We start from the raw sequence: 15,934 nt of genomic DNA, 5'->3' as shown, positions 1-15,934 counted from the left end.
CAGATCAGTCTTGCATTGACTCCCATAGACACAGTCGTGGTTCAGTTTTCATTCTGCCTCGCATTTTCTCCCTGACTTGGTGTTTCCACACATAGTGGAAGACATCAAGGTCTTTTGAAAATACAGATCTGATTATGTCAACCTCCTGTTTCTAATTCCTCAATGGCTCCCAATTGCCTAAAGGCAAATCACGACTACTCATGAGAGTATACAAGGGCCTTCCTGGCCAGCCTCTATCTACTCAATCAGCCTCAATTCTAGATTTTCCAAATCCCCTGTTTTATGCCCAACAGATATGATTATTAATCATTCCTAAAACCCACCGCATTTTCTCATGCTTCCATGCTTTTGCACAGGCTGTTCCCACTGCCTGGAACTACCATGCTTTCCAAACTTTCTCTTTATCTAGAAGTATTGTGCCTCCTTGGCATTTCCCCAGACACCTACGTTCCCTGGCTAGGTTAGGTGACTCTGCTCTGTACTCCTTCCTATAGTTGTCTGAGCTACCTCAGTCATCACAGTTAGCACAGAGCCTGGGCTCAGCTTTTCTCTGTACCCGCTTCTTTTGTTGACCTAGAGTGGCCTAAGTGGTGCATCCAGCACGGAGCATGGTTAGAGAGAACAGATGTGAGTCAAATGAGAGAATGTATGTCTCTGGTGCTAACCCAGGGTATGAGTGACAGCCCTTTGCCTGTGTTTCAGATACAATGTCCCTTGTCTGAGAGCTTCCACGGTATGTGGAAATGACCACCGTCACCTTCCACTAGGAGACTGTTTCTTCCAATGCAATTACCAGACATGTGGAACAACTGGGGCTTAACATCTTTCCATCATTAGAATAGAAGGTATTATGGCTCTCCAAAAAAACAGAACCAATAGGAAAGACATATAGATATATAGATATAGATATAAATTAATGAAAAGATTGTGAGGAATTGACTCATGTGGTTGTGGAGGCTGAGAATTCTCACCATCTTCTATCCACCAGCTGGAGACCCAGGAAAGTGAGTGCTGTAATTCCAGCCTGAATCCAAAGGCCTGACAACCAGGGAATTTGACGCTATAAGTCCCGGTCCAAGGGCAAGAGAAGATGAGATGCCCCAGCTCAACCAGGCATGCAGGAAGCAAAAGGGATGAATCTTTCCCTCCTTCCTCTGCCTTTTTGTTCTATTCAGCCCCTCGATGGATTGGATGGTTTCCACCCACACTGGGAAGGGCCATCTGCTTTACTAAGTTCCCCCACTTGAATGCTAGTCTCATCCAGAAACATCTGCACAGATACACCTGGAAAAAATTGGTGAATCAGAGCATTAACCCGTTGGCCCAGTCAAGTTGACACAAAATTAAACCATCACAGAAACTATCTCTTCTGAATAAATATATTTCTCCTTTCCATGGACAAATCTACCTTTAATTAATTTTACAGGGCTTCTGTGGGCAAAGGAATCTTAGAGTTCATCTAGTTAGTTCTGCCCCTGTGCCTGCTTTGCAGATGGGGAAACTGAGGCTCAGAGAGCAGACCTGAGTCCCAGGGCCTGCTGTGGGGCAGAGCTAGTCTGAGCTCCTTCCAGCACGCCTTGCTCTGCAGTGAGCCTGATTTATTTCCAGGGGCTGTGGTCTTGGCCCTCCTGGGCCTGCTGCCTTGTTTTCCCGTGGCCCCTTACAGAGCTCAAAACACTCCCCGCTCAGAAATGAGGTGATTACTCTCACTTTTGCAGATGAGGAAACAGAGGCCCAGACAAGTGCAGTGTCCCGAGGTCACCAGCAGAAGACTCAAACTGAGGTCCTCTGTCTCCTAACCCAGTGCTGTTTCTTCTAAAAAAAAACAAAAAAACCCAAACCCATTGGGATACAAGGACCAAGAAACGTAATTGTTTCTAGATAATTTAAAAGGCAAAGATGCATAGATACTGCCTGTGTCTTAGAAGCTGGAAGAAAATACAGTTCAGAAGGCTAGGGAAGAATGATAGAGGAGCATAGGGTAACTTCTCTAAATGCTGTTTACATACCTGGAATTCCACCACACCCTCTGCCAGTGCAAGCTTCCTCTTTCTGACCCATTTATTTCCTAGAAAAGAACTAAAACTCATGACTCCATTCCCCTTTGTAAAGTAGATATTCTTTACTATCTGAATCCAAATTATAGATCCTATGATCTCCTTACATATGTAATTTTAAGACAATAGATATGATGTGCTTTTACATATAAAGGAGAAATGGAATAAAAATGATTTGTAGTATATTTCTAAATATGCAAGTGCTTGGGCATGACCACACTGGAAGACATGATGAAACAATCAGATTCCCAACACCTATAAATAAGGAACCACTGTGAATGCACACTTACAAACACAGACCAACTTGGGTGTGTTTTGCTGGTGATTCAGAGACTATGAGTAGAATTGCTGAGAGTGTTGTAATTTTCCCAAACAGCAAGTGACTCTTGAAAGAACTCCAGACCAAACAAAGCACAAGCTTCTCTCACTTTACACTGTAGTTGCTTCCTAGAACATTTAGGAAATATTAACAGTGTGCACAAAAGCCCGTCTGAGTGTCTATGTAACATGTAGCTAGGTTCTGAGCTTAGATCATCATAAACGACTGTTTTACTTGCATGAATGTCCACCGGCACATTTTTTTCATACCCTTAGCTTGACTTCAGTAGCACATTTTTAAGTAGGGTGGGATATGAAGTAATTTTTGTACAGTAAACAAATGATGGATGCAGGGTAGGGTAGTACACCTATGTAACTCACACTAGCCAGACCGTGGTTAATACAGGGTTTGGCGGGAGATAGGTAGATAATAGTAAATAATGATAATAAAAATAATAGCTAGCACTTGTATAATTTGTGCCAGGAACTTTTTTTTTTTTTTTTTTTAGACGGAGTCTCACTCTGTCACCCAGGCTGGAGTGCAGTGGTGCGATCTTGGCTCACTGCAACCTCTGCCTCCCGGGTTCAAGCAATTATCTGCCTCATCTGCCTCAGCCTCCTGAGTAGCTGGGATTACAGGTCCCTGACACCATTCCTGGCTAATTTTTGTATTTTTAGTAGAGGCGAGGTTTCACCACCTTGGCCAGGCTGGTCTTGAACTCCTGACCTCATGATCCATGTGACTTGGCCTTCCAAAGTGCTGGGATTATAGGCGTGAGCCACCGCGCCAGGCCATGTCAGGGACTTCTAAATGCTTCCTATATATTAATGTATTGATTCCTCATAACAATCCTGTCAGATTGATGGCAGTATTATTCTCATTTTACAGATATAGGAACAGAGACATAGAGAGGTTATAGGACTTTCTGGAGGTTACACAGGTAAAAGGCATTTAGTTCAGCATGACAAATGCCCAAGAATACCTCCTACCTGCTGTCTGCAGGGGCAGTATGGAAACTGATCATGCTCTGGGTCCACAGGAGAGGGACCTAATACACACACACACACACACACACACGCACACACACACACGCATATATATGGAGAGAGAGAGAAGAAAGGTTTATTATGAGAAATTGGCTCATGTGATTACGGAGGCTGAGAAGTCCCATGATCTGCCATGTGAAAGCTGAAGACTCAGTGGATCCCATGGTATAATCCAGTTTCAGTCCAAAGGCCTGGAACCAGGGGAGCCAATGATGTCAATCCCATTCTGAGGGCAGGAGAAGGTGAGATGTGATGTTGCAGCTCAAGCAGTAATGCTGTAAAAATGGGGGGAAGTTCCCCATTCCTCTACCTTGCTCTATGCAGGCTGTCGATGGACTGGATGGTGACCACCCACACTGGGGAGGGCCATCTACTTCACTGAGTCTGCTGATTCAAATGCTAATCTCATCCTAAAACACCCTCACAGACAAACCCCGAACAAATGTTTAATCTGGGCATCTCGTGGCTCATTCAAGTTGACACTAAGACTGACCATCCCAGATCCAGTATGGGGCCATGTGTTTACTTCTGGCCAATGGACTGTGAGCAGAGTGGCTTTTGTCAGTTACAAGTCAATCTGCTGCCTCCCTTTTCTCCTGTTACAGCAGCCTTGCAGGCTATGTGTCCTGATGGCAGAGGTACAATATAGAGCACAGCCACATGACTCAAATCTGACTCTGATCTGAGCACCAAATAAATCCATCTTAGCTTAGGGAATTTTTGTTGTTGACTAAACTAGCTACACCTGACTAATACAATAAAATGTATCCATCTTTACCCTGAAAAAAGAAATTTCTAGGGGTTAAATTGTAGACTTTGTGAGTTAGGTCATTTGGGGTTGGGTGGTATCAGTCAGGGCACACTAGATTATGCTTCAAGGAAAACCCAAATCTCAGTGACTGTAACCAATAAAAGTTTATTTCTTTCTTTCCCTATGTAACTGTCATGGAGCAGGTGAGGGCTCACACACTTGTCCTACCTTTAGGGCCCAAGCTGGTGGGGCCGCCACCATTAGGAGCATTATTGCTCAGCGTTGCAGCAGGAAGTGGGGAGCGTGCAGAGTGGACACTGGAGATGCCAACTGCAGGTGCCACCAGTCACTTCTGCTTGCACCTTATTGACCCATTGGCCACGCCTAGTCATGTGACATGGCTTCAGGGGGCCTGTGTACCTGGAGCCTTGGAGGAGAAGGGAAAATTCTACCTGGGGCCTTGGAGGAGAAGGGAAAACTATGGGTGGCATTAAGAGAGAGTCTCAAGTCACCTAAGAGGGCACTCTGTGTTTTCTCAGCTTTCTCATTTTGACTTGAGCATTCCAGACAAGCTTCTTTAGACCAACTGCCTCCGTTTCTCTAACTCTATAAAGATTTCTTTGGTTGTTAGAAACCCCACAAATGTCTTTCCACCTATTGCCATCAGGGTGAAGCTGTCCCCCATGTTTGCCTCCATTGCTGGACTGTGAACTCCTCAAGATCATGGACAGCATCTTATTCCTCTGTGTCTGCATCCTTCAGACAGGAGGGATGCTCAGGAAATTACTTTTGAACGAATGAGTTCTTGTTGAGGGTTGGGCAGAGGAGAATGCTTCCTGATAGCCAACACTGGAGCAACCTGGGTAGTCCCAGAGACAGCTTTGAGCCACCATACAGTAAAGGATGCTGCAGCATTCAAGGGGCTGTTTTGAAAGACAATGCTGCAATTTTAGTAACAGGGGTGTGAACGAAAAGGCCAGTAAGAATGACCTTCTGACAAATAAATGTGATTCTAAACTTTCTCTGCAGTCCTGGTACCTCCCTCTCCTTACCTCTCCTTGTGGCTTGGGCAGGTCTTGCTCCTCTGCAGATCTGGGTATTTTCCTGAGCAGCAAGGAAATGGACTTACTTATCTGTGGATGCTCTTTTAGTTTCCACCAAGCAGGAGCTGAGCTCCAAATTCTTCTACACTAAGAAGGTCAGGCAGACAGCACCTTCTGAGGTATCTGAAGCTATGTGCATCTTCCCTCCCACAGTTTATTCTCAGCTCCCTCCAGAGCTCTGAGCTCCAGGAGCTTGGCCTTATATCTAGACCTGCTCCAAGTGTGTGCTCCCCAAGCAGGGTCTTTGTGGCCAATAGGCCACCTCCCCCTCCTCCGTCTCTGTCTTTGAAGACACTCAGCCCTAAGTCACAGAGGGCTGTGACTATAGCTTTGCTCTGACGGGTTTTTGTTTGTTTGTTTTGTTCTTAAACTGGGGCAGAATTATTTGTGTATTTATTCATTTCATGTGCAAAATATGTATCGAGTGCCCATGATGTTCTAGGCAGTGTTTTATGCACAAAGAATTCTAAGACAAACAGGGCCCCTTTCCTCCTGGTCTTACACTTTGCGGGAAAGCAAGCAACAGGTCAGCTAGCAAAGACAGAAACGCCATCATTCTGAGTGCCATGGTGAGCATGAGACAGATTCATGCGATAGAGGGAGAATGGGAGGTAGACATCTTTGAATAGAGGTGATGGAGAGCCCTGCGGTACAGCCAAGAGTTGACATGAGGTCTGAAGACCACTGTGTCTGCCACCACCTGCCACCTAGCTCCTGATTGAGGAGGATTGGAATGCCCAAGCTCCCCATGGAAATTAGATTTCTAAGGTAGGAGATTTGTAGGGTAAGAGAAAAAAAAACTAACATTGGCTGAGTACTTATTATATACACATTTTAATGTGTAATTAAGTATCCTACAAAATTAATGATGTAAGGATGAGTTATACCTTTTTAAAAAAAAATTTATGAGACAAAGTTTTGCTCTTGTCGCCCAGGCTGGAGTGCAGTGGCGCAATCTCGTCTCACTGCAACGTCTGCCTCCCAGGTTCAAGCGATTCTCCTGCCTCAGCCTCCCGAGTAGTTGGGACTATAGGTGCCCGCCACCACACCTGGCTAATTTTTGTGTTTTTGGTAGAGACGGGGTTTCACCATTTTGACCAGGCTGGTCTCAAACTCCTGACCTCAAGTGATCCACCTGCCTCAGCCTCCAAAAGTGCTGGGTTTACAGCTGTGAACCACCACACCTGGCCTGATTTATGCCTGTTTTTAAAGACAAGAAAACTGGAGGCCTGGGTGAGCAAGTAAATTTCTCAGCTGGTCACCCAGGTGGGAAATGGGATTTGAGATATGATCTCACTTGCTGAGGTAACACACTGAGTCCTTAATCATTAAGATCTCACTGTTGCTTTATGGATCAGATCACTTTATTGACAATGTGAACATAGTTCTTTGTTAAGGGGGTTGCCCTATGCATTGTAAAATATGTGGCAGCATCTTTGGTCCCTACCCAACAGATGCCAATAGCCCCTCTCATCAATTATGTTAGCCAAAAATGTCTCCAGATATTGCCAAGTATCCCCTAGGGGCAAAATCATCTTGGTTAAGAACCACTGGTCCAGAACTTTTATGACCATATCTTAGGAAATACATTTCTAATCTACGGAAGGTAAAATATGTGCCCTGCTTTCAGATGCCACCTACAATATACTGATCACTCCAGATCAGATATTTTCCTGCTCCAGAAATATGTTACCAATCATCTATTGGACATTTCCAAGGTGTTTCCTTTGCCATGTCCCCAAGGCATCTGAACTCATCTGACACCAGGCCCACATCTTCCCTTGTGTTTCTGGTCTCTGTGAATGGCTTCTCCAGGCTCATCCTTGCTCAAACCAGAAACCTAGGGAGTCATCTTAACTTCTTCCTCTTCCTCATCTGTCTCAGTCAACCAACTGAGTCATGCCATCCTTTGTCTTAGAGCTGTTCACTCTTCACTCCACTGGGACCAAGGGTTCAGTTAAGTACACGGTAGCCAGCAAAGGGCACTTAGCTTAGGGGCAGTGGGGCTGGCAGGAGCCCTGATCCACATAGATGCCGATATGGTTTAGATCTGTGTCCCTGCACAAATCACAAGTTGAATTGTAATCCCCAGTGTTGGAGGTGGGGCCTGGCGTTAGGTGATTGGAACATGGGGGTGGATATCCCGCTTGGTACTGTCCTTGTGATGGTGAGTTCTCATGAGTTCTGGTTGTCTAAAAGTATGTGGCACGACCAGGAGCAGTGGCTCACATCTGTAATCCCAGCACTTTGGGAGGCCGAGGTGGGTGGATCACCAGAGGTCAAGAGTTTGAGACCAGCCGGACCAACATGGAGAAACCCCGTCTCTACTAAAAATACAAAATTAGCCAGGTGTGGTGGTGCATGCCTGTAATACCAGCTACTCGGGAGGCTGATGCAGGAGAATCACTTGAACCTGGGAGGCGGAGGTTGCAGTGAACCGAGATCACGCCATTGCACTCCAGCCTGGGGAACAAGAGTGAAACTTCGTCTCAAAAACAAAAGCAAATAAACAAACAAAAAAAGTAGGTAGCACCTCCCCCTCTCTCTCTTGCTAGGGCTCTGGCCATGTAAGATGCACCTCCTTCCCTTTAACCTCCCACAACCGTGACTGTAAGTTGTCTGAAGCCCCCCAAGAAGCAGAAGCCACTATGCTTCCTATACAGCCTGCAAAACCATGAGCCAATTAAACCTTTTCTTTATAAATTACCTAGTCTCAGGTATTTCTTTATAGCCGTGCAAGAACTGACTAACAGAGAAAATTGGTACCAAGGAGTAAGGCATTACTAAAAAGATACCTGAAAATGTGGAAGTGGCTTGAAACTCAGTAATGGACAGAGGTTGGAAGAGTTTAGAAGGCTCAGAAGAAGACAGGAAGATGAGGGAACATCCTAGAAACTTGTTGAATGGTTGAGACCTGAATGCTCATAGTAATATGGACAGAGATGGCCAGACTGATAAGGTCTCAGATGGAGATGAGGAACTTACTGGGAAGTAGAGTAAAGGGCACTTTTGCTGTACCTTAGCAAAGAGTCTGGCTGCATGGTGCCCCTGCTCTAGGTATCTGTGGAATGTTGAACTTGAGATTGATGATTTAGGGTGTTTCTCCACCTCCCAGCAAAATACCCTAAATCATCATGTGGTGTGTGTTTACACGATGAAAGCACACACCACATGATGACCACACATGGGTATTTAAGGATAAGGTGTGTGACTTACCTATTTTTGGCATTACTTTGTGCTTAACTGAGAGAAGGCACTCATTCAATACTTTTAAAATAGTAATAATAATAATGGTAATTTTATTTCTGAAGATGAAATTAGACACTGAAACATGTGGTTCCCATGCATTAGCACAGGAATCTTCACAACCACCCTATGTGGTAGAAACTATTAAACACAATTTGTGAATATTGAGATTAACTTATTTATTTTCCTCAAATAAGAGAAGACTTGAATCTATATATTCAAAGGGTACTGTATATCAGAGAACACTGATCCAAAGTAGTCAATACTGATAATATATGCCGATAAAGTTATTGAACTAAAGGTAAAGAAATAATTATTTGGCCAGCCAGGCAAAAAGCTCAAGTCACATATAATAAAGGGTTAAAAATCAGTCTGATTTTCTACAGGCCACAGCAACTCAATATCAGAAGATTCAGTATCAGAATATGAAGTGGAATGACACAACACCACGATACCTTCAAGAAAAGAATGTGTGAGACAAAGATTTATACCCAGCAAGGCTGGTCTTAAAGACAAACAGGTTTAACAATACAAGAACTCAGGAAATGTTCTCATGAGTCCTTTTTGAGGGAAAGAAGTACTGAAAGATGAACCTCATTTCAGCTCACCAAAATGTCATGGAGAACTTTGACAAAAGTTGATTGTGAGCATGGATATATTTAAATATATTTAACTGGTAAGTTGAGGCTTAAACAAAGACGGAGTTTAGGTGACAGAGCTGAATGCAAATATAGCTAACAAAAAGTGGGATGGGAAGATTGTAATTTTGCTGATCTGCAATAGTTGCAAGTGTAAGAATTGTTGTTAACAGTTGACACATCAAATAGTAGAGTTCTAAGCATAGTTAATAATTAAAAGGTACTGCTAAGAAAAATAATAGTCTTAACTGAAATCTGATCAGGGACTGTGAATTTTATTATTACTTATGGGAGTGAAATATAAAAGAAACTAAAGAAATAGACCAAGATATAATTATGCAGATAGGTATTATAATAAAAATATTAACTTTCCAAATTTTATAAGAATCACTCACACACACACACACACACACACACGCACACAGAGACCACCTGTTAAATTTTTAAACTCTTAAAATAGAAAAGAATACATAAAATCATATGACAAAAAAAGACTAAATGTTATTTGTCTTATCAGTCACTATAAATGAGTTTAGCTTGCCTACTGAAGGAAGAAGTTCCCAGACTGAACTACAGAGAAAAACTCGATGTGTAACGTATCACATTTAGACATATTTAAAATAAAGTGGTTCATACAAATTGAAAATGCAAAGATGTGCAACATTTGCAGGCAAAAGCCACCAAGAGAAAGTGGTGGTCACAATCTTAATATCAGACAAAGTGGAATTCTTGCAAAAAAACCATTAAATAAGACAAAATTGGAAACCTATAATACTAAAGGGTATAATTCATGACAAAAATTAAAGTTATAAATATTGATAACTAAATATAATAGTAATAATAGCCATAAAGTACAAATTATAGAAGCTAAAAGGAGGAAGAAACAAAAACACACTGGTTATTAGGAGAATTTAATTCATTTTTGTTTAAGTCCGTGACAGATCCAAACATTCAAAGAGAGAATTTAAAATATAATGTATAAGCTATATTTGGCATATATTTCAAATGCCATACCGTGAAAATAGAATATATTCCTTTTTTATTTTTTAGATTTTTTTTTTTTTTTTGAGACAGAATTTTGCTCTTGTTACCCAGAATGGAGTGCAGTGGCGCGATCTCGGCTCACTTTCACTGCAACCTTCGCCTCCCAGGTTCAAGCAATTCTCCTGCCTCAGCCTCCCTTCTTAGATGTTTTTAAAACATCTACAACTGAACATACTAGGCCAAAAGGAAACCTTAATAAATTCCAAAATGTCAAAACAATACAAACCATTTTCTGACCATAATTCAATAAGACTAGAAATTAATAATAAAACTATAGGCTCTTTTACTTGGAAACTCTATAAAGTGTTATCTTCTAAATAACTCTTTGGTCAAAAAGGAAATACAAACCCAAACTGCAGAATGTCTAACAGCCGAACATATGGATAGAGATAAAAAGTGCTCGTAGAAAAATTCATAGACTTAAATAATTATGTAAAATTAAATAACGTATGCATTAGACACAAAAGTTAGAAAAAGAACATTGAAATATATGACTAGAGAGAAGTAACTTTAAAGACAAAAGCAGAAAGCAAACTAATAAGTGAAACTAACATGTATTGATTTGAAAAACAGTAAGATAAAATAGATGAACTATAATCCAACCTGCTTAAGAAGAAAAGGAAAAAAAGTCAATAAATAAGAAATGATAAGTAGGAAATAATCATGAAAAGAGAGAAAATTCATGAGACCACGTTGCTCAACTTTCAAATAAATTTGACACACTTCTATTTATAACGTACTCTTAGCCAAAAACAAACAAACAAACAAACAAAACCTGAATTTGATCTAGCCTCCAGATGAACCAATACAGGGGAAATAAGAACATTCTAAATGATACCTAAGGAGAAAATCAGCACATTTCAGAGTATAAAAAGTCCACCAGGAAGTCCAGGTACGGTGGCTCATGCCTATGATCCCAGCACTTTGGGAGGCCGAGGCGCGTGGATCACTTGAAGTCAGGAGTTCAAGACCAGCCTGGCACACATGGTGAAACCCACATCTCTATTAAAAATACAAAAATTAGCTAGGCGTGGTGGCATGCGCTTGTAGTCCCAGCTACTCAAAAGGCTGAGGCAGAAGAATCGCTTGAACCTGGGAGGTGGAGGCTGCAGTGAGCCGAGATCATGCCACTGCACTCCAGCCTGGGTGACAGAGTGAGACTTCATCTCAAAAAAAAAAAAAAAGTCTGCCAGGAAGATGACCTTGTTTATTCAACAAATAAATTTTGAGGAAAGATATCTGGGAGAGGAGGAGGTGAGATTTATAGAAAAACCTATAAATGAAGAGATTTAAGACACATATCCAGCAGGTGTAATTGTCTAGAGCTTATTTGGACCCTGATTTCAACAAATAACTGAATGACTTCCTGTTTAAAAAATAATACTTATGGGCCGGGCGCGGTGGCTCACGCCTGTAATCCCAGCACTTTGGGAGGACGAAGCGGGCGGATCAGGAGGTCAGGTGATCGAGACCATCCTGGCTAACACGGAGAAACCCCATCTCTACTAAAAATACAAAAAATTAGCCAGGCGTGGTGGCGGGTGCCTGTAGTCCCAGCTACTGGGGAGGCTGAGGCAGGAGAATGGCGTGAACCCGGGAGGCGGAGCTTGCAGTGAGCCGAGATTGCGCCACTGCACTCCAGCCTGGGTGACAGAGCGAGAATCCGTCTCAGAAAAAAAAAAAAAAAAAAGAATACTTATGTTTTAGTGACACAGCCTGAAAGTTCTGCAAGCAAAAGAATACAATATCCCAGGATTGCTACAAAACACTCCAGACTCAGGAGGAGGGTGGGGGGAAGTAGGGTGGGATTCCACATTCAATAGGAGTGATTGTGAACCGATAGTTGCTGGGTCCTGGGTAGCTGGAGCTCAGTATACTATTCTTTCGTAACTTTATATATGTCTAAAATTTTTCATAATACAAATAAATTTGTAAAAATGTTTGGAACCCAGTTGAAATATAAACCTTTCCGGAAAAAAAAATTTATGAAATTTGACCCCAGAAAATAATGAAAATTCAAACTTTGTAATTACCAGAGAATAAATATAAAAAGTTGCCAGAAAGTTAACCTTCTCTTTTTCCCCACCTCCCAGCAAAAGGAAAAAGATGTTTTCACAGAGGACGTCTTCCAAATCCTTAGAAGGTAAACAGTTCCAACGCGATTTATATTATTCCAGTACATAGAGAAAATGGAAATTCTATGATTCTTTCATGAAGTGAAAAACACATCAGCACCAAATATCGAGAAAGATTTCACAAAAAAAGGAAAAAACAATGTCTCCCTAATAGATGTTAAAGCAAAAATTTTAAATAATATATTAACAAATAAAATCTAGCATGACACTAAGAAAATTAAACATCATGACCTGGTAGAATTTATGCAAGAATTCAAGAATGTGTTCAATATTATAAAATCTGTTAACATAATTTATTACAATAATTATATAAAACACAAAGGTACACTTGAACAAAGGAAATTATGTAATCTGTTCTCGGTTAGGGAAATTCAATCGTGTAACAATGCCAAATCTCTCTAGGTTGGTTTCTAAATTTAGTGTAATCCTAACAAAAATATCAAGTTTTGGTTTTGGTTTTAGAAGTAGACTAGATGGACCAGGCACGGTGGCTCACCCCTGAAATCCCAGCACTTTGAGAGGCCGGCAGAGGCTGGGGGATCACCTAAGGTCAGGAGTTTGAGACCAGCCTGACCAACATAGTAAAACCCTGTCTCTACTAAAAAGACAAAAAATTAGCTGGACGTGGTTGTGGGCACCTGTAATCCCAGCTACTTGGGAGGCTGAGGCAGGAGAATTGCTTGAACCTGGGAGGCAGAGGTTGCAGTGAGCCGAGATCGCACCATTGCACTCCAGCCTGGGCAACAGAGTGAGACACTGTCTCAAAAAAAAAAAAAAAAAAAAGTAAACTAGATGATTCTAAAGTTTATATTGAAAACAAACAAGGACAAATCTGAACAAAAATAACAATGACTAGGGGTCCAGTCATATCAGATATTAAAATATGTCATGGAGCTCAATAATTAATGAATTTAATTAACCATTAATTAAATTAGTATTGCACTATTACATAAATAGTCTAATGGAACAGGAGAGAAAGTTGATTAATACAATGAGATACATTCTGTAATGTAGTATAAAATAAGATAAAAGTGGTATCTTAAGTCAGCAGAGAAAAGATATTCAATAAAGGATAGCAGGTCAACTGAATATCGGTCTAAACATAGCTCACTTCATACACTAGAATAAACTCCAAATAGATAAAATAGTTAAGTACAAAATTTCAAACTATAAAAATATTAGAAGAAAATATGGAGTAAGAAGGCTTATTTAGTTACAGTTCAGAATCCAATATTTATAAAAGAATTGATTGATAAATTATATGATAAGCAATTTTTAAAAATTTCTACCTAGCATAATAAAACCATTAGCAAAATCAAAAGACAAAATCAAGCTAGGCAAAATATTTGCAAGTCATATTACAGATCAAGCTTTTAATCTTCATAATATGTAAAGAGCTCTTAGAAATGATAAAAAGAGTAATAACTAAAAAGAAAAATGGGCAGAAGATATGAATAGAAAGTTCACAGTAAAAAACATAAATGGTTTTTAAAATACAGAAAGACACAACATAAGAGATAATCAAATTGAAACAACACTGAGATGCCATTTTTCATCTATCAGGTTGGTAAAAAAATTAAATATTGACCACACATTGTGTGTGTGAGGTTGGGTAGAAACTGGTAAATTGCAGGAGAGAGTGTAAATTGGTACAAACTCTATGGAGGGCAATTTTGGAATACTAGCAAAGCCATAAAAGCATATATACCCTTTGAGCCATCGATCTCATTTCTGGGAATTTACCCAACTGATAAGCTTGCTCAGTTACTAAGTGACAAATTATTGCAGTATTGCTTGTAGTAAAACCTTGGAAACATACATAATGTCCCTCAAGAGGAGACTAATTAAATAATCCTAGTATATCCATTCCGTGGAATATATGCAGATGCCAAAAAGAATACAAATATTTTTATATATTATAAGAGATTCGGGATGTATTGGTACTTGAAATAGGACGCAAGAGGTGTTTAGGTATGCTACTTTGTGTGATGGAAGTGCGTGGTGATAAGCATATACCTTTATACATGTTTGTTTTCTGTAGGAATCTCAGGAAGATAATAAAGGTGGTTATTATGGCGGGGGTGGGGAACTCAGTGGATAGCAGGCAAAAATGGGAATAAGAACTTTTCCTGTGTGCCTTTTGAAACTGCTTATTTTGTAAGCTATTGAAATGTATTTCCTATTCAAAGTTACTTGATAAGCATTGAAACCTTTGCAAAGTTAGCACAAAGTCACTGTGGAGATGGAGGGGTGCAAGGCAGAGGGGAGAAGTGGCTCCGGTTCTCCAAGGAGGAGCCTGGATAGGCCCCTCAGAGTCTCTGCTCACAGGTGAGGGGCTGGCCAACAGACCACAGGTCATAATACTCCCAGTTGTGTGAGAATGAGCAACCCCAGACCATCCAGGCAGCCCTGAGTCAGCATCCAGGCCTGCCTCTGCATGCAGAGAAGTGGTTTTCTCAAGGTGAGTCCATGAAGAACGTGCTTCTGGCCTGAGTTATCTGTCTGGGGCAAAACGCAGGCTTTACCAAACTTTCCCAACTGGAGGACACACCCAGCTGTCTGTGGCGAAAGCCAAGGTTGTGTCCCACAGTCGAAGCCAAATAGAGGCCCGAGGAGGCTGTCCAGAAAACCCAGCAATGGCAGAGGAAAAAGAGAGCTTCCATCAGCCATCACCTAGTCAGACGGTTCACTCCCTTTCCTTCCTGAAAACACAGCGTAGCCCAAGGAAAGACAGTGTGGGTTTCTGTGTTAGATAGGGGAGCAGCTTCCAGCTCTGATGCTCAACAGTTAAGGGTAACTCCGGACAAGTCACTGAAGCTCATGAGAACTCAGTTTCCTATCTATGGAATGGGTACGCTTGTGCCCAACTCACAGAATTCTTGGGAGGATTAGAAATAATGCATGTAAAGTGCTTGGCATTTTGTGCTCAGTTCAGGGTAACCACGTGGGATCCATGTGTTAACATATCTTTCACTTCCAGCTCTGCCTAGTGGAGACTTTCACCGGGGAGAGATCTCTGAGCAACTACCTAGCTATTATCTAGCCTCATTAGATAATTGGTTATGTTTACATAGTCTAGGTTTAGCCAGATGGGGCAAAGGGACTAGTTCAGGAATGGCAAATACCCTGACCATGTGTACATGTCATATTTCTACTCTATGCCTAGGGTAGACATTGCTAGTCTACCCTAGACATTTCTAGTCTACCCTAGACATCACTAGTCTACCCTAGACATCGCTAGTCTGCCCTAGACATCACTAGTCTACCCTATGGCATGGAGAATTCTTCTCAATGCCGTGTTCCAGACAGCCATTGTCCATTGACTGCCGTGCAGAAGAGGTGAAATCCACTTAGCAATTCTGGATAGATATCTAAAGCCCCATCACAATCTTGCTTCCTCTGATTTCTCAGTTTCTATCAAAAATGACAATAAAAAACACTTTTAATATTTAATTTTAAAGAACATTAAAATAGATGACCACTTTCACATTATTTAATTAACATCAAAACATTTGATGTGATGTGGACCAGGTCACAGGCAGAGCTTTCCCGCAAGGTTCTACTATACCTGGAGGGACTGTCACCTGGCATGAAC

This window comes from Homo sapiens, chromosome 8 (assembly GCF_000001405.40).
Source record: "Homo sapiens chromosome 8, GRCh38.p14 Primary Assembly".
In the NCBI taxonomy this organism is placed as follows: Eukaryota; Metazoa; Chordata; class Mammalia; order Primates; family Hominidae; genus Homo; species Homo sapiens.
Note: the sequence above shows the minus strand (reverse complement) of the source record.